Source organism: Homo sapiens, chromosome 8 (genome assembly GCF_000001405.40).
Source record: "Homo sapiens chromosome 8, GRCh38.p14 Primary Assembly".
Lineage (NCBI taxonomy): Eukaryota > Metazoa > Chordata > Mammalia > Primates > Hominidae > Homo > Homo sapiens.
Genome location: NC_000008.11, coordinates 19,899,960 through 19,920,449, shown reverse-complemented (window position 1 = coordinate 19,920,449; position 20,490 = coordinate 19,899,960). Strand labels below are relative to the sequence as shown.

General features: G+C 38.1%; 1 long non-coding RNA gene across 1 annotated transcript; it reads right to left on the bottom strand.

Moving 5' to 3' along the window:
• Nucleotides 328-18,718, bottom strand: LOC107986921 (uncharacterized). Its single transcript, XR_001745822.1, has 3 exons — nt 18,659-18,718; nt 1,890-2,095; nt 328-367 (listed from the first exon to the last, which is right to left on the bottom strand). It is a non-coding gene; the product is annotated as an uncharacterized LOC107986921 (long non-coding RNA).

Sequence of the window (20,490 nt, the reverse complement as noted above, 5' to 3'; positions counted from 1 at the left end):
TTCCGGAGGCTGGGAAGTCCAAGGCAATGACTCTGGCATCTAATTGGTCATCTATTAACACTATGGGTCATAACATAGTAGAAAGCATCACATGGCAAGTAAGCACTAAAGACAGAGAGAAAATGGGACTAAACTTATCCTTTTATTAGGAGCCCACTCCCACAATAACTAACCCACTCCTGCAATAATGCCATTAATCCATTCATGAAGACAGAGCCCTCCTGACCTGATTACCTCTTAAAGGTCTCACCTGTGGCTTGACCAAGTGGCTCACACCTATAAACTCAGCACCTTGGAAGGCTGAGGCAGGAGGATTGCTTCAGGCCAGGACTTCAAGACTACCTTGGCCAACATAGCAAGACCCCATCTGTATAAAAAATAGAAATTAAAAAATTAAAAAGGTCTCACCTACGGACACTATTACATTGGAGATGAAGTATCCAATGCATGGACTTTGGGGGAAACATTTAAACCATAGCAAAGTTTTTCACTTCTTTAGTTTATTCCTAAGTATTTTATTCTTTTTATTGCTATTGTAAATGAGATTGTTTTGTTAATTTCCTTTTTGGATAGCTCCTTGTTAATGTATAGAAATGCCACCATTTTGTGTATGTTTATATCATATACTGCAACTTTACTGAATTTGTTTGTTAGCTTTAACAGTTTGCAGTTGTCATTGAGTATTGAGAGTTTTCTATATATATGATCATGTTATCTGCTAACAGATAATTTTACTTCTTTCTTTCCATTATGAGTACCTTGTTTTTCGTTTTCTTGTCTAATTGCTCTGGTTAAAATTCCAGTACTATGTTCAATAGAAGTAGTGAGAATGAGCATTCTTGCCTTGTACCAGATCTTTGAGCAAAAGCTTTCAGTTTTTCCTCGTTAATTACGATGTTACCTGTGTGTTTTTCATATGTAGACTTTGTGGCATTGAGGTAAGTTTCTTCTATAACTATTTTGTTGAGAGTTTTTGTCATGGATAGATGCTGACTTTTGTCAGATGATTTTTCTGCATCACTTGAGATAATCAAGTGGTTTCTGTTGTTCATTTTATGTTAATGTGGTATATCACATGTATTGTTTTGTGTATGCTGAACCACCTTTACATCCTAAGAACAAATCCCACTCGGTGTGTAATACTTTTAATATGCCATTGAGTTTGGTTTGCTGGCATCTCACTGAAGATTTTTCTGTCTGGATTCATTAGAGTTATTGGTGTGTAGTTTTATTTTCTTGTTATGTCTTTGTCTGGCTGTAGTATCTTGGTAATGTTGGCATCATAAAATGACTTTGGAAGTGTTCCCTCTTCTATTTTTTGGAAGAGTTTAAGAGGACTGGTATTAATTCTTCCTTGAATGTTTGTTAGAATTCACCTTTGAAGGTATCTGATCCTGAATTTTTCTTTGTCGGGAGGTTCACGTTTATTGATTCAATGTCCTTACTCATTACTGCTCTGTTTCTTACTGCTTTCTATTTATTGCTTCAGTTTTGGTAGGTTGTATATTTCTAGGAATATATCCAATTTCTTTTAGGTTATCCAATTTGTTGGCATATAATTGTTCATAGTAGCCCCTATGATCCTTCTTATTACTGAGGCAATCATTGTAATGTCTCTTCTATGATTTCTGATTTTATTTACTTAAGTCTCCTCTCTTTTTTCCTGTTAGATAAAAGTTTACTGATTTCATCTTTTCAAAAAGCCAAGTATTTGTTTTACTGATTTTTTCTTTTGTTTTTCTATTCTCTGTTTAATTTCTGCTCTAATATTCATTTCTCACCTTCTAATAACTTTGAACCTAGTTTGTTCTGTTTTTAGTTCTTTAAAGTAGAAAGTTACGTTGTTTATATGGTGTCTTTTTAATGTGGGCATTTTGCTACACACTTACCTTTTAGAACTCCCTTCTTTTGCTGCATGCCATACACTTAAGTGTGTTGCACTTGCATTTTCGTTTGTCTTGAGATATTTTTAAAATTTCCTTTTGATTTCCCCTTTGATTCAATGATTGCTGAAGAGTGTGCTGTTTAGTTTTCACGTTTGTAGTTTTTTTTCTATTTCTCACTGTTATTCCTTTCTAGCTTCATTACATTGTAGCTGGAAAAGATAGTTAGTATGATATCAGCCACTTAAATTTGTTAAGACCTGTTTTTGTGACACAACATGTGATCTATTCTGGAGAATGTTCTGTGTGCTTAAGAAGAAAGTGTGTTCTTTCACTCCTGAATGGAAAGTTCTGTATATGTATATTAGGTCCATCTGACCTATAATGTTTTTCAAGTCTGCTGTTAATTTTTAAATTGATTTGCTGCCTGGATATTCTATTCAGTATTGCAAGTGAAGTATTAGAGTCTTCTACTATTATTGTATCATTGTCAATTCTCATTTCAAATTTGTACATATGTCCTTTATTCTATACTGTTTCTTAAATCTATTTATGCATCCTTATCCAAGTATTGCACTGTCTTTATTGTTACTTTTCTGTTAATCTTGAAATCATGTAATTTAAGACCTCTAATTTTCTCTTTTGTGAAATTATTTCAGCTACTTACTAGGTCCTTTGAATTTCCTTTTAAATTCTTCAATTATCTTGTTGATTTCTACAAAACTTCAACTAATATTTTTTTTTCAATGACATTGGACCTATCTATCATTTTGGGATGAACTGACATCTTAGTACTGAATTTTCCAATCTATGAACACTCTAGCCTAGGTACATCCAACAAAATTTGATATATTGTATTTTCATTATCATCTAATCCAAAATATTTTCTAATTTGTCTTGTTAATTTTCTTTACCACATGAGCTTTTAGAAGTAATTTCCAAATATTCATAAGTTTCCTAGATATTGCATTAAAATGTCTTAAATTTTGTTCTTTTGTGGTCAGAGGACATACTCTGTATGATTGCAATCCCTTGAAATGTATTAATAATTGTTTTATGGGCCACCATATGTTCTCTCAGTAAATGTTCCAAGTGAATTTGAAAAAGAAAGTATATTCCGCAGTTGTTGCGTATAGTGTTCTACAACTATTAATTAGCTAAAGTTTGCTGAAAGTGATGTTTAGATCGACATCCTTACTGATATTTTTAATCTACTCATTTTATCAATTACCAAGTGAAGGATATCAAAATCACCAAACATGATTGTAGATACCTCATTTTAGTTCTGCCAATATTCACTTTATGCATTTTGAAGCTCTGTTATTAGTTGCATATGTATGTAGGATTATTATCTCTTTTTCATAAGTTAACCATTTTTTCATCAGCAACTGATCCTCCAGTGTGGCATCCAGGAACAGGTAAAAAGAAAAAAATTACTTCATGACGCATACACAAGTATCAATAGCCGAATTGATCAAGCGGAAGAAAGGATACCAGAGATGGAAGATCAACTTAATGAAATAAAGAGAGAAGACCAGATTAGAGAAAAAAGAATGTAAAGGAACAAACAAATCCTCCAAGAAATATGTGAAAAGACCAAATCTACATTCGATTGGTGTACCTGAAAGTGACGGGGAGAATGGACCAAGTTGGAAAACACTCTTCAGGATGTTCTCCAGGAGATCTTTCCCAACCTACCAAGACAGGCCAACATTCAAATTTGGGATATACATAGAATACCACAAAGATGCTCCTCGAGAAGAGCAACCTCAAGACACATAATTGTCAGATTCACCAAGGTTGAAATGAAAGAAAAAATGGTAAGGGCAGCCAGAGAGAAAGGTCAGGTTACCCAGAAAGGGAAGCCCATCAGACTAACAGTGGATCTCTTGGCAGAAACCCTGCAAATCAAAAGAGAGTGGGGGCCAATATTCAACATTCTTAAAGAAAAGAATTTTCAACACAGAGATTCATATCCAGCCAAACTAAGTTTCATAAGTGAAGGAGAAATAAAATGCTTTACAGATAAGCAAATGCTGAGGGATTTTGTCACCACCAGGCCTGTCTTACAACGGCTCCTGAAGGAAGCACTAAACATGGAAAGGAACAACTGGTACCAGCCACTGCAAAAATATACCATATTGTAAAGACCATCGACACTATGAAGAAACTGCATGAACTAATGGGCAAAATAACCAGCTAGCATCATAATGATAGCATCAATTTCACACATGACAATATTAACTTTAAATGTAAACAGGCTAAATGCCCCAATTAAAAGACACAGATGGCAAATTGGATAAAGAGTCAAGACCTATCAGTGTGCTGTATTCGGGAGACCCATCTCACATGCAAAGACACACATAGGCTCAAAATAAAGGGATGGAGGAATATTTACCAAGCAAATGGAAAGCAAAAAAAGCAGCAGTTGGAGGGAGGTTCCAAGATGGCTGAATAGGAACAGCTCCAGTCTACAGCTCCCAGTGTATGTGACGCAGAAGATGGGTGATTTCTGCATTTCCAACTGAGGCACTGGGTTCATCTCACTGGGGCTTGTCAGGCAGTGGGTGCAGCCCACGGAGTGTGAGCCAAAGCAGGGCGGGGCATTGCCTTATCTGGGAAGTGCAAGGGGTCGGGGAATTCCCTTTCCTAGCCAAGGGAAGCTGTGACAGACAGTACCTGGAAAATCGAGACACTCCCACCCTAATACTGCACTTTTCCAATGGTCTTAGCAAACAGCACACCAGTAGATTTTATCCTGCACCTGGCTTGGAGGGTCCCACACCCATGGAGCCTCGCTCACTGCTAGCACAGCAGTCAGAAATCGAACTGCAAGGTGGCAGCAAGGCTGGGGTAGGGGCATCCGCCATTGCTGAGGCTTGAGTAGGTAAACAAAGTGGCTGGGAAACTCGAACTGGGTGGAGTCCACCACAGCTCAAGGAGGCCTGCCTGCCTCTGTAGATTCCACATCTAGGGCAGGGCATAGCTGAACAAAAGGCAGCAGAAACTTCTGCAGCCTTAAACGTCCCTGTCTGACAACTTTGAAGAGAGTAGTGGTTCTCCCAGCATGGAGTTTGAGATCTGAGAATGGACAGAATGCCTTCTCAAGTGGGTCCCTGACCCCTGAGTAGCCTACCTGGAGCCTAACCTCCGAGTAGGGGCCAACTGACACCTCATATAGCTGGATGCCCCTCTGAGAGGAAGCTTCCAGAGGATGGATGAGGCAGCAACATTTGCCGTTCTGCAATATTTGCTGTTCTGCAGCTTCTGCCAGTGATACCCAGGCAAACAGAGTCTGGAGTGGACCTCCAGCAAACTCCAACAGACCTGCAGCTGAGGGTCCTGACTATTAGAAGGAAAACTAACAAACAGAAAGGACATCTATGCCAAAACCCCATCTGTACGTCACCATCATCAAAGACCAAAGGTAGATAAAACCACAAAGATGGGGAGAAACCAGAGCAGAAAAGCTGAAAATTCTAAAAATCAGAGCACCTCTTCTCCTCCAAAGGATCGCAGCTCCTCCCCACCAACAGAACAAAGCTGGATGGAGAATGACTTAGTCAAGTTGAGAGAAGAAGGCTTCAGACAATCAGTAATAACAAACTTCTTTGAGCTAAAGGAGGATTTCGAACTCATCACAAAGAAGCTAAAAACCTTGAAAAAAGATTAGACGAATGGCTAATCAGAATAAACAGCTTAGAGAAGACATTAAGCGACCTGATGGAGCTGAAAACCATGGCATGAGAACTACGTGATGCATGCACAAGCTTCAATAGGCAATTCGATCAAGTGGAAGAAAGGGTATCAGTGATTGAAGATCAGATGAATGAAATGAAGCGAGAAGAGAAGTTTAGAGAAAAAAGAGTAAAAAGAAACAAACAAAGCCTCCAAGAAATATGGGAGTATGTGAAAAGACCACATGTACATCTGATTGGCATACCTGAAAGTGACGGGGAGAATGGAACCAAGTTGGAAAACACTCTGCAGGATATTATCCATGAGAACTTCCCCAATCTAGCGAGGCAGGCCAACATTCAAATTCAGGAAACAGAGAGAATGCCACAAAGATACTCCTCGAGAAGAGCAACCTCAAGACACATAATTATCAGACTCACCAAAGTTGAAATGAAGGAAAAAATATTAAGGTCAGCCAGAGAGAAAGGTCGGGCTACCCACAAAGGGAAGCCCATCAGACTAACAGCAGATCTCTTGGCAGAAACACTACAAGCCATAAGAGAGTGGGGGCCATATTCAACATTTTTAAAGAAAAGAATTTTCAACCCAGAATTTCGTATCCAGCCAAACTAAACTTCATAAGTGAAGGAGAAATAAAATCCTTTACAGACAAACAAATGCTGAGAGATTTTGTCATCACCAAGCCTGCCTTACAAGAGCTCCTGAAGGAAGCACTAAACATGGAAAGGAACAACCGGTACCAGCCACTGCAAAAACATGCCAAATTGTAAAGACCATCGATGCTAGGAAGAAACTGCATCAACTAATGAGAAAAATAACCAGCTAACATCATAATGACAGGATCAAATTCACACATAACAATATTAACCTTGAATGTAAATGGGCTAAATGCTCCAATTAAAAGACACAGACTGGCAAACTGGATAAAAAGTCAAGAACCATCAGTGTGCTGTATTCAGGAGACCCATCTCATGTGCAGAGACGCACATAGGCTCAAAATAAAGGGATGGAGGAAGATCTACCAAGCAAATGGAACACACAAAAAAGCAGGGCTTGCAATCCTAGTGTCTGATAAAACAGACTTTAAACCAACAAAGATCAAAAGAGACAAAGAAGGCCATTACATAATGGTAAAGGGATCAATGCAACAAGAAGAGCTAACTATCCTAAATATATATGCACCCAATACAGGAGCACCCAGATTCATAAAGCAAGTCCTTAGAGACCTACAAAGAGACTTAGACTGCCACACAATAATAATGGGAGACTTTAACACCCCACTGTCAACATTAGACAGATCAACGAGACAGAAAGTTAACAAGGATATCCAGGAACTGAACTCAGCTCTGCAGCAAGCAGACCTAATAGACATCTACAGAACTCTCCACCCCAAATCAACAGAATATACATTCTTCTCAGCACCACATCGCACTTATTCCAAGATCGACCACATAGTTGGAAGTAAAGCACTCCTCAGCAAATGTAAAAAACAGAAATGATAACAAACTGTCTCTCAGACCACAGTGCAATCAAACTAGAACTCAGGATTAAGAAACCCACTCAAAACCGCTCAACTACATGGAAACTGAACAACCTGCTCCTGAATGACTACTGGGTACGTAACTCAATCAAGGCAGAAATAAAGATGTTCTTTGAAACCAGTGAGAACAAACACAACATACCAGAATCTCTGAGACACATTTAAAGCAGTGTGTAGAGGGAAATTTATAGCACTAAATGCCCACAAAAGAAAGCAGGAAAGATCTAAAATTGACACCCTAACATCACAATTAAAACAACTAGAGAATTAAGAGCAAACACATGCAAGAGCTAGCAGAAGGCAAGAAATAACAAAGATCAGAGCAGAACTGAAGGAGATAGAGACATAAAAAACCCTTCAAAAAATCAATGAATCCAGGAGCTGGTTTTTTGAAAAGATCAACAGAATTGATATACCGCTAGCAAGACTAATACAGGAGAAAAGAGAGAAGAATCAAATAGACGCAATAAAAAATGATAAAGGGGATATCACCACTGAAATAGAAACTACCATCAGAGAATACTATAAACACCTCTACACAAATAAACTTGAAAATCTAGAAGAAATGGATAAATTCCTGGACACATACACCCTCCAAAGACTAAACCAGGAAGAAGTTGAATCCCTGAATAGACGAATAACAGGCTGTGAAATTGAGGCAATAATTAATAGCCTACCAACCAAAAAAAAATCCAGGACTAGACGGATTCACAGCCAAATTCTACCATAGGTACAAAGAGGAGCTGCTACCATTCCTTCTGAAAATATTCCAATCAATAGAAAAAGAGGGAATACTCCCTAACTCATTTTATGAGGCCAGCATCATCCTAATACCAAAGCCTGGCAGAGACACAACAAAAAAAGAGAATGTTAGACCAATATCCCTGATGAACATCGATGCAAAAATCCTCAATAAAATACTGGCAAACCGAATCCAGCAGCACATCAAAAAGCTTATCCACCATAATCAAGTTGGCTTCATCCCTGGGATGCAAGGCTGGTTCAACATATGCAAATCAATAAACATAATCCATCATATAAACAGAACCAATGACAAAAACCACATGATTGTCTCAATAGATGCAGAAAAGGACTTTGACAAAATTCAAGAGCCCTTCATGCTAAAAACTCTCAATAAACTAAGTATTGATGGGACGTATCTCAAAATAATAAGAGCTATCTATGACAAACCCACAGCCAATATCATACTGAATGGGCAAAAACTGGAAGCATTCCCTTTGAAAACTGGCACAAGACAGGGATGCCCTCTCTCACCACTCCTATTCAACATAGTGTTAGAAGTTCTGGCCAGGGCAATCAGGCAGGAGAAGGAAATAAAGGGTATTCAAATAGGAAGAGAGGAAGTCAAATTGTCCCTGTTTGCAGATGACATGATTGGATATTTAGAAAACCCCATCATCTCAGCCCCAAATATCCTTAAACTGATAAGCAACTTCAGCAAAGTCTCAGGATACAAAATCATTGTGCAAAAATCACAAGCATTCCTATATACCAATAACAGACACACAGAGAGCCAAATCATGAGTGAACTCCCATTCACAATTGCTACAAAGAGAATAAAATAACTAGGAATCCAACTTACAAGGATGTGAAGGACCTCTTCAAGGAGAACTACAAACCACTGCTCAATGAAATAAAAGAGGACACAAACAAATGGAAAAACATTCCATGCTCATGGATAGCAAGAATCAATATTGTGAAAATGGCCATACTGCCCAAGGTAATTTATACATTCAATGCCATCCCCATCAAGCTACCAATGACTTTCTTCACAGAATTGGAAACAACTACTTTAAAGTTCATATGGAATCAAAAAAGAGCCCACATTGCCAAGACAATCCTAAGCCGAAAGAACAAAGCTGGAGGCATCATGCTACCTGACTTCAAACTATACTACAAGGCTACAGTAACCAAAACAGCATGGTACTGGTACCAAAACAGACATATAGATGAATGGAACAGAACAGAGCCCTGAGAAATTATACCACACATCTACAAGCATCTGATCTTTGACAAACCTGACAAAAACAAGAAATGGGAAAAGGATTTCCTATTTAATAAATGGTGCTGGAAAAACTGCCTAGCCATATGTAAAAAGCTGAAACTGGATCCCTTCCTTACACCTTATACAGAAATTAATTCAAGATGGATTAAAGACTTAAATGTTAGACCCAAAACCTCAAAACCCTAGAAGAAAACCCAGGCAATACCGTTCAGGACATAGGCATGGGCAAGGACTTCATGACTAAAACACCAAAAGCAATGGCAACAAAAGCCAAAATTGACAAATGGGATCTAATTAAACTAAAGAGCTTCTGTATAGCAAAAGAAACTACCATCAGAGTGAACAGGCAACCTACAGAATGGGAGAAAATTTTTGCACTCTACGCATCTGACAAAGGGCTAATATCCAGAATCTACAAAGAACTTAAACAAATTTAGAAGAAAAAAATCAAACAACCCCATCAAAAAGTGGGCGAAGGATATGAACAGACACTTCTCAAAAGAAGACATTTATGCAGCCAACAGACATGAAAAAATGCTCATCATCCCTGGCCATCAGAGAAATGCAAATCAAAACCACAATGAGATACCATCTCACACCAGTTAGAATGGCGATCATTAAAAAGTCAGGAAACAGCAGGTGCTGGAGAGGATGTGGAGAAACAGAAACACTTTTACACTGTTGATGGGGCTGTAAACTAGTTCAGCTATTGTGGAAGACATTGTGGCAAATACCATTTGACCCAGCCATCCCATTACTGGGTATATACCCAAAGGATTATAAATCATGCTGCTATAAAGACACATGCACACGTATGTTTATTACGGCACTATTCACAATAGCAAAGACTTGTAACCAACCCAAATGTCCATCAATGATAGACTGGATTAAGAAAATGTGGCACATGTACGCCATGGAATAGCATGCAGCCATAAAAAAGGATGAGTTCATGTCCTTTGTAGGGACATGGATGAAGCTGGAAACCATCATTCTGAGCAAATTATCGTAAGTACAGAAAACCAAACACCTCATGTTCTCATTCATAGGTGGGAATTGAACAATGAGGACACTTGGACACAGGAAGGGGAACATCACACACTGGGGCCTGTCATGGGAGGGTGGAGGGATAACATTAGGAGATATACCTAATGTAAATGACGAGTTAATGGGTGCAGCACACAAACATGGCACATGTATATATATGTAGCAAACCTGCACGTTGTGCACATGTACCCTAGAACTTAAAGTATAATAAAAAAAAATCAGGAGTTGCAATCCTAGTCTCTGATAAAACAGACTTTAAACCAACAGAGATCAAAAGAGACAAAGAAGGGCATTATATAATGGTAAAAGGATCAATGCAACAAGAAGAGCTAACTATCCTAAATATATATGCACCCAATACAGGAGCACCCAGATTCATAAAGCAAGTCCTTAATGACCTACAAAGAGACTTCGACTCCCACACAATAATAATGGGAGACTTTAACACCCCACTGTCAATATTAGACAGATCAACGAGACAGAAAATTAGCGAGGATGTTCAAGACTTGAACTCACCTCTGGACCAAGTGGACCTAATGGACATCTTCAAAACTCTCCACCCCAAGTCGACAGAATATACATTCTTCTCAGCACTTCATCGCACTTGTTCTAAAATTGACCACATAATTGGAAGTAAAACACTCCCTAGCAATTGCAAAAGCATGGAAATCATAACAGTCTCTCAGATCAGACCACAGTCCAATCAAATTAGAACTCAGAATTAAGAAACTCACTCAAAACCGCACAACTACATGGAAACTGAACAATCTGCTCCTGAATGACTGCTGGGTAAATAACGAAATTAAGGCAGAAGTAAAGATGTTGTTTGAAATCAATGAGAACAAAGACACAATATACCAGAATATCTGGGACACGTTTAAAGCAGTGTTTAGAGGGAAATTTATAGCACTAAATGCCCACAAGAGAAAGCAAGAAAGATCTAAAATTGACACCTAACATCAAAATTAAAAGAACTAGAGAAGCAAGGGCAAACAAATTCAAAAGCTAGCAGAAGATAAGAAATAACTAATATCAGGACAGAACTGAAGGAGATAGACACACGAAAAACCCTTCAAAAAATCAATGAATCCAGGAACTGGTTTTTTGAAAAGATCAACAAAATAGATAGACCGCTAGCCCGACTTATAAAGAAAAAGAGAGAAGAATCAAATAGACATAATAAAAAATGATAAAGGAGATATCACCACTGATCCCACAGAAATACAAACAACTACCATCAGAGAATATTATAAACACTTGTATGCAAATAAACTAGGAAATCTAGAAGAAATGGATAAATTCCTGGACACATACACCCTCCAAAGACTAAACCAGGAAGAAGTTGAATCCCTGAATAGACGAATAACAGGCTGTGAAATTGAGGCAATAATTAATAGCCTACCAACCAAAAAAAAAATCCAGGACCAGATGGATTCACAGCCGAATTCTACCATAGGTACAAAGAGGAGCTGCTACCATTCCTTCTGAAAATATTCCAATCAATAGAAAAAGAGGGAATACTCCCTAACTCATTTTATGAGGCCAGCATCATCCTGATACCAAAACCTGGCAGAGACACAACAAAAAAAGAGAATGTTACACCAATATCCCTGATGAACATCGATGCAAAAATCCTCAATAAAATACTGGCAAACCGAATCCAGCAGCACATCAAAAAGCTTATCCACCAAGATCAAGTCGGCTTCATCCCTGGGATGCAAGGCTGGTTCAACATATGCAAATCAATAAACATAATCCATCACATAAACAGAACCAATGACAAAAACCACAATGATTATCTCAATAGATGCAGAAAAGGACTTTGACAAAATTCAACAGCACTTCATGCTAAAAACTCTCAATAAACTAGGTACTGATGGGACGTATCTCAAAATAATAAGAGCTATCTATGACAAACCCACAGCCAATATCATACTGAATGTACAAAACTGGAAGCATTCCCTTTGAAAACCAGCACAACACAATGATGTCCTCTCTCACCACTCCTATTCAACGTAGTGTTGTAAGTTCTGGCAAGGGCAATCAGGCAAGAGAAAGAAATAAAGGGAAGTCAAATTATCTGTTTGCAGATGACATAATTGTATATTTAGAAAACCCCATCGTCTCAGCCTGAAATCTCCTTAAGCTGATAAGCAACTTCAGCAAAGTCTCAGGATACAAAATCAATGTGCAAATATCACAAGCATTCTTATACACCAGTTACAGATGAACAGAGAGCAAAATCATGAGTGAACTCCCATTCACAATTGCTACAAATAGAATAAAATACCTAGGAATACAGCTTACAAGGGATGTGAAGGACCTCTTCAAGGAGAACTATAAACCACTGTTCAAGAGAAAAAGAGAGGACACAAATAAATGGAAAAACATTCTATGCTCATGGATAGGAAGAATCAATATCCTGAAAATGGCCATACTGCCCAAAGTAATTTATAGATTCAATGCTGTCCCCATCAAGCTACCAATGACTTTCTTCACAGAATTGGAAAAAACTACTTTAAATTTCATATGGAACCAAAAAGAGTCTACATAGCCAAGACAATCCTAAGCCAAAAGAACAAAGCTGGAGGCATTGCGCTACCTGACTTCAAGCTATACTGCAAGGCTACGGTAACCAAAAAAGCATGGTACTGTTACTGAAACAGAGATATAGACCAATGGAACAGAACAGAGCCCTCAGAAATAATGCCACACATCTACAACTATCTGATCTTTGACAAATCTGACAAAAACAAGCAATGGGGAAAGGATTCTCTATTTAATAAATGGTGTTGGGAAAACTGGCTAGCCATATGCAGAAAACTGATACTGGATCCCTTCCATACACCTTATACAAAAATTAATTCAAGATGGATTAAAGACTTAAACGTAAGACCTAAAACCATAAAAACCCTAGAAGAAAACCTAGGCAATACCATTCAGGACATAGGCATGGGCAAGTACTTCATGTCTAAAACACCAAAAGCAATGGCAACAAAAGCCAAAATAGACAAATGGGATCTAATTAAACTAAAGAGCTTCTGTACAGCAAAAGAAACTATCATCAGAGTGAACAGGCAATCTACAGAATGGTAGAAAATTTTTGCAATTTATCCATCTGACAAAGGGCTAATATCCAAAATCTACAAAGAAATTAAACAAATTTACAAGAAAAAGTAAAAAACCATCAAAATGTGATCAAAGGATAGGAACTGACACTTCTCAAAAGAAGACATTTATGTGGCCAAAAAACATATTTTAAAAAGCCCATCATTACTGGTCATTAGAGAAATGCAAATCAAAACCACAATGAGATACCATCTCATGCCAGTTAGAATGGTGATCATAAAAAAATCAGGAAACAACAGATGCTGCAGAGGATGTGGAGAAATAGAACGCTTTTACACTGTTGGTGGAAGCGTAAATTAGTTCAACCATTATGGAAGGCAGTGTGGTGATTCTTCAAGGTTCTAGAACCAGAAATACCATTTGACCCAGCAATCCCATTACTGGGTATATACCCAAAGGATTATAAATCATTCTACTATAAAGACACATGAGACCGGGCATGGTGGCTCATGCCTGTAATCCCAGCACTTTGGAAGTCCGAAACGGGCAGATCATGAGGTCAGGAGTTTGAGACCAGCCTGGCCAATATGGTGAAACCCTGTCTCTTCCAAAAATACAAAAATTCGCCAGGCATGGTGGTGTGCGCCTGTAGTCCCAGCTACTCGAGAGGCTGAGACAGAAGAATTGCTTGAACCCGGGAGGTGGAGGTTGCAATGAGCCTAGTTCATGCCACTGTACTCCAGCCTGGGTGACAGAGCGAGACTCTGTCTCAAAAAAAAAAAAAAAAAAAAGACACATGCACACATATGTTTATTACAGCACTATTCACAATAGCAAAGACTGGGAACCAACCCACATGCCCATCAGTGATAGACTGGATAAAGAAAATGTGGAACACATACACAATGGAATACTATGCAGCCACAAAAAATGATGAGTTCATGTCCTTTGCAGGGACATGGATGCGGCTGGAAACCACCATTCTCAGCAAAGTAACACAAGAACAGAAAACCAAATACCACATGTTGCCACTCATAAGTAGGAGTTGAACAATGAGAACACATGGACACAGGGAGGGGAACATCATACACTGGGGCCTGTTGGGGGGCGGGGGGCTAAGGGAGGGATAGCATTAGAAGAAATACCTAAGGTAGATGACGGGTTGATGGGTGCAGCAAACCACCATGGCATGTGTATACCTATGTAACAAAACTGCACGTTCTGCACATGTACCCCCGAACTTAAAGTATAATAAAAAAAGAAAAAAATTAAAATTAATTTTACAAAGGGCTTGGACAGGACAGTAAGGCAGAAAAAAAGTGAATTTGCACTTTCTCTGGAGCTGGGACACCCATCTTCTCCTGCTCTTAGATATCAGAACTCCAGACTATCTGGCGTTTGGACTCCAGAACTTGTGGCAGTGGCCTCCAGGTTCCTAGGCCTGCTGCCTTGGACTGGGAGCGATACCATCAACTACTTTACTTTTCAGGTCTTTGGACTTGGACTGAGCTATGCAAAAGGCATCTCTGGTTCTACAGCTTGTAAATGGCATATCATGGGACTTAGGCTGCATAATGGTGTAACCCAGTGCCCATAATAAATCTCCTCTCATCTGCCTATCTACCTACCTATCTATATCTATCCACTTACTTATCTGTCTCCTATCAGTTGTTTCTCTGAGAACCTTGACTAATACACTAATACTGTGTTTTTGAGAATTGGGTATCATGGTTTGTTTATCCATTAAGCACTTGAATTATAATTTAGTTGTTTAAAACTTTTAATGATTATGAATAAAGCCAGCATCAACATTTGCATACAGGTTTTTGTGTGAATATACGTGTTCACTTCATTTGAGTAAACATGTAAGAAAGAGATTGTTGTGTCATATGATGAGCATATGTTTAACATTATAAGAAGCCACCAAACTATTTTCCAAGTGGTTGTGCCACTTTTCATTACCTCCAGGCATTGCTCTATATCTTTCCTAGCAGATGGTATGGTAAAAATTTTTAAGGCATTCTACCAGGTGTATAGTGATACATCACTGTGGTACTTATTTGCATCTCCCTAGTGACTTCTGATGTTGCAAAGATTTTCATGTGGTACTTCATCACTCGTGTACCTTTTATTGGTGCAGATATTTTAAAATATTTTGCTTATTTTTAAATTGGTTCATTTGTTTCCATATTACTGAGTTTATAAAAATAAATAATTAAAACTTAATCATAATTTGTGGAACCCTAAAATTTATGTTGAGCCTTGAAGGAAATATGAGCATGTGGTCTAAGCTATGCAATAAGTAGCTGCAACTTCTGCTTCTCCTATTATAGATTAACTCTCTTCCTCATTGCTCTTGTTCTGTAAATTGAGTAAGAAAGACTAAATGGTGCCAGAGATGCCACCTTCTCCCCTCCTGCTTGCTGACCTTTCTTCCTTTATTATCTTCCACCTAATTCAGACCAGGTGGTGCAAAAGACCCCATCATTGTTACACCCTCCATGTGGATTGTTAAATATGCCTTTCCCAAAATGAACACTGTTCCAACTATCATATTAGTTGAACTATAGCTAATCATATTATAATATGATTAGTCAAACTTAACTCATCATATTCATTGAAGGCTAGTACTGTAACTATGTGCTAGCCTTGTGAGGAAAATGTGGAAACCTAATTAAGGTTCCCAAGCCTTAGCTATAAACAACCCCAAACTTCCCCACTTCGGAGCACTGACTTCCATTCTTTCGAATCTGTGTTCCCTGGTGGCCGTTTTCAAACTTTGTACTAGAATGAACTCAATACTTAATAATATTTTCTCAATCTCTTTATTTTAGGTTATCAAGTTTTTATAGTGATTTATATATTCTGTAAACAAACTTTACATATAAGTTTTTGCAAATATTTTCTTCCAGTGTGTGGTTTTCATTTTATTAACTGTGCCCTTCTAAATAGTACCAGTTTTATAATTTGGTAAAGTCATACTCAGCAACTTTTAAAACTTTGATCATCTATTTCAGTGTTCATTATTTGTCATAGATTTAAATTTCCATCTAGTATCATTACCCTTCAATCTAAATAACTTATTTTTGTAGTTTTTTATAGTGTGTGTTTGCTGGCAACAAATTATCCCTGATTTTGTTTACTAGTCTGAAAATATCTTAACGTTGTAGGATATTTTGTTGAGTATAAAATTCTAAGTTGCCAGTCTTTTGTTTGTTTTTTAAAAATGTCTTTTTTTCATCTCTAGTTTTTGTGATGAGAAATCACCTTCATTATTATCATTGTCTACATGTGTCCATGTCTTCTTTCTTTTTTGGTTTTCAGCAATTTAATTATGATGTTTGCAGGTATGAGTTTTGTTTTTTGTTGTTTGGGGGTTTTTTGTCTTTTTTTTTTTGCATTTAACTTTCTTGGGATTTGCTGGGATTGACCGATGTGCAAGTTGCTCTTTTTCATCAAATTTAGAACAGTTTTTGTTGGCCAGGCATGGTGGCTCACACCTGTAATCCCAGCACTCTGGGAGGCCGAGGCAGGTGGATCATGAGGTCAGGAGTTCAAGACCAGCCTGGCAAAGATGGTGAAACCCCGTCTCTACTAAAAAATACAAAAATTAGCTGGGCGTGGTGGCGGGCACCTGTAATCCCAGCTACTTGGGAGGCTGAGGCAGGAGAATTGCTTGAACCTGGGAGGCGGAGTTTGCAGTGAGCCGAGGTCGCACCACTGCACTCTAGCCTGGGTGACAGAGCAAGACTCTGCCTCAAAAAAAAAAAAAAAAAGAAAAGAAAAATTTTTGTTAAAATTTAAATACTTTTTCTGACTCGTTCTTGGTCTATTTTGTTCTAGGGCTCTATTTACACATGCCTTAATACCACCTTGAAGGTTATTTTGACTGTTTTAAGTCCTTTTTCTTCCAGTGCTTTACTTAGGATGATTTAAGTTGATCCAATTTCAAGCTCACTTATTCTTTCTCCTTTATGTAAAATCTTCTATTAATACCATCCAATCAATTTTTTTTGTATAAAATTTTTTTTGCTCTAAAATTTTCACTTAGTTTTTTATTGTGGTTACCCTGATACTCCTTACTCTTGCCACATATATCCATCTTTGTACATTTTTAAACATATTTTCATAGTTATTTTAAAATGTTTGTCTGCTAATTCCAACATCTGGGTCATCTGTGGGTCTATTCTGCGTTATACTGTTGTGCCTACCAAGCTGTCATCTCTTCTCTAGGTTCTTCATTGCCTTGGCCCAGATATGTGTAGTTCAGAAGTCAGCAAGGGACTTTTGGTATTTATATGTAAATATTATTAATCATTTTTCATATTATACTATAACAAACTATATATTTTGAAATTAAGGTTATCTTAATTTATAATAAGATTCCAAGGGTTAAAATTATATTTTGGGTTGAGGTACTATGATAATTACATAATAAATCACATATAACACAAATGTTAATAAGTGGTAAATATAAAAAAAAAATTTTATGAGAAAATCACTTTTAATGAGATGGATGGGCTTTCTTTTGACCTAGTCTCGCTCTGTAGCCCAGGCTGGGGTGCAGTAGCACGATCTCAGCTCACTGCAACCCCTGCCTCCTGGGTTTAAGTGATTCTCCTGCCTCAGCCTCTCGAGTAGCTGGGAGTCACCATGCCCAGCTAATTTTTGTATTTTTAGTAGAGATGGGGTTTCACCGTGTTGGCCCAGCTGGTCTTGAACTCCTGACCTCAAGTTATCCGCCCCCTTCAGCCATGCAAAGTGCTGGGATTACAGGTATGAGCCCCTGCGCCTGGCTGGATAGGCTTTTTAAAGTTTAATTTACTGATGTGTTTGTTAAACGTTAGTTATTGCTAGAATGATTCAGTGTTCAGCATCAATTTTATTCTTATTCTACTTTCATACGTGTAAGCATATGGAATACTATTGTATGTAAATAAATAGATAACAATGGAAGAAAATTTGTTAATACTAATGCCATTCTGTTCTTAGAATTTCTTCCTAGTTACATGCTAAAAAGTCATAAACTCTTCTAACATTAAAAATGATTTTCAAGAATTGTTTGCTTACAGCTGGATTAGGGCCTCCTACATTTTTTTCTTTAGAAAACAAGGAACTAGAGACAATTTTTTACCCAGTGAATAGAGTCATTTATTTTCTCAAGACCAGAAACCAGTATTTTGAATTGTCTCATTGTTTGGTGTCCTGGAGGACTTTATGTCCCAGGGCTCGGTACTCAATAAATGGTAGCTATTCTCACTGTTTATGGGCCCCAGAGACCCTCAAGGCACTGACTATACCCCTACTGTGGCAGTTTCCTCTTATTCCCTTCAAAATATCCAACATGAATTCACAATTTCTTTTAGACTATTCAGATCTATGTAGATAATCTCTTACCTTCTTTATGAAATTGTCCTTAGCACTTCCAGCCCTCAGAGATCTTTTCAGAACTCTTCCAGCATACAAACTGTTCTACATCATTATCAGGGTTACTTACATAATGTTGTATACTGTTTTCTTTCTCTGTTAATCATGTGGCCCGAATAAGATTACACCCTTTCTGAGAACAGCAGTTCTGATTTATAATTCTACAAACTACACACATACCTCATTGCTGAATATTTAATTGGGTTTTAAATGACATATGTGCCATTTCACATTTTAATTCTTATAGTATATCTTGGCTTCTGATCAGCATAAGCTGGACTCCTAACAAGAATTTGCCCATTGCACTTGATTGTGATTTGCCCCAAATTTCCAAGAAACTCAGTCTCAGGAATTACACAGTGCTTCAGTTTCAATCTCAAAACTAAAGAGAGAGAAGGGAAAGAACATTTAACTCCTACATGGAGGAAATAGTATTTACATAACTAAAATTGTAAGCAACTGCTTTATATTCTTGATCATTACTATACTTGAGTATTGTGAATTTACTGATAAACAGAAGAATGCGATATGTAATAATAGGTAGATAAATTATCAAATTACTCTGATTGATTTTATATTATTTTGAAATGATAGCAGGGTTAATACAAAACTATGGGATTCCTAGGGGAAATGATTAGCTGGTACTTCATCCTAACTTTCCTGTAATAATTTTGGATGTCTGAAGCAGTGTCAATTCCGGCAAACCCTGCTGAAGAAATGAATTTGTGTTTCTTCATGAATCACTTCCTTTTTTATTTTTCATTCATTATGCATTTATTGATAATGTGTGAGTCACACGAAGGTGAATATAATATGTGGTCCCTGCCTTGACTCTCTTCTTTGTTCCTGGCTAGTAATGGGTTAACTGGAAAGTTACTCTCCTCCTGCCATCTCCATTTCCTCCACCCTTCCCCACAAACAGATAAATATGCTGAACCCCCAATTATTACATGGTATATTCAAAGTCACCTGAAAGTTTAGGAATGTGGCTGACAGCACAATTTCTCAATCTTTTTAATACTTACTATCCTTTTGAGGATCTTAATAGACCTTTTTTCTTTTATTTTATTTTATTTTTTTTTTTTGAGACAGAGTCTTGCTCTTTTGCCAGGCTGGAGTGCAGTGGCACAATCTCGGCTCACTACAACCTCTGCCTCCTGGGTTCAAGCGGTTCTCCTGCCTCAGCCTCCTGAGTAGCTGGGACTACAGGCACGCGCCACCACGCCTAGCTAATTTTTGTATTTTTAGTAGAAATGGGGTTTTGCCATGTTGGCTAGGATGGTCTCGATCTCTTGACCTCATGATCCGCCTGCTTCGGCTTCCCAAAGTGCTGAGATTATAGGTGTGAGCCACTGTGCCCGGCCGATCTTTCTTTTCTAACAGTGCCCCACCCATGAAATTTTAATACCACAAACAGACTGTATTTCTTTTTTTAAATTTTTTTTTTTTTCAGACAGAGTCTCGCTTTGTTGCCCAGGCTGGAGTGCAGTGGCACAATCATGGCTCACTGCAGCCTTGACCTCCCAGGCTCAAGCTATCCTCCCACCTCAGCCTTTCAAGTAGCTGGGACCACAGGCATGGGCCAACGCACCTGGCTAGTTTTTTAATTTTTTTTTGTAGAGATGAGGTCTCCCTATTGTTGCCCAGGCTGGTCTCAAGCTCCTGGCCTCAAGTGATCCTCCTGCCTCAGTCTCCCAAAGTGCTGGGATTACAGCTGAGAGCCCCTGGCACGTGATGCATACTGTGTTTCTGTTTAGTGATGTTGGCCTTTCAGAGGGCCACAAACCATTATAATATGAGAG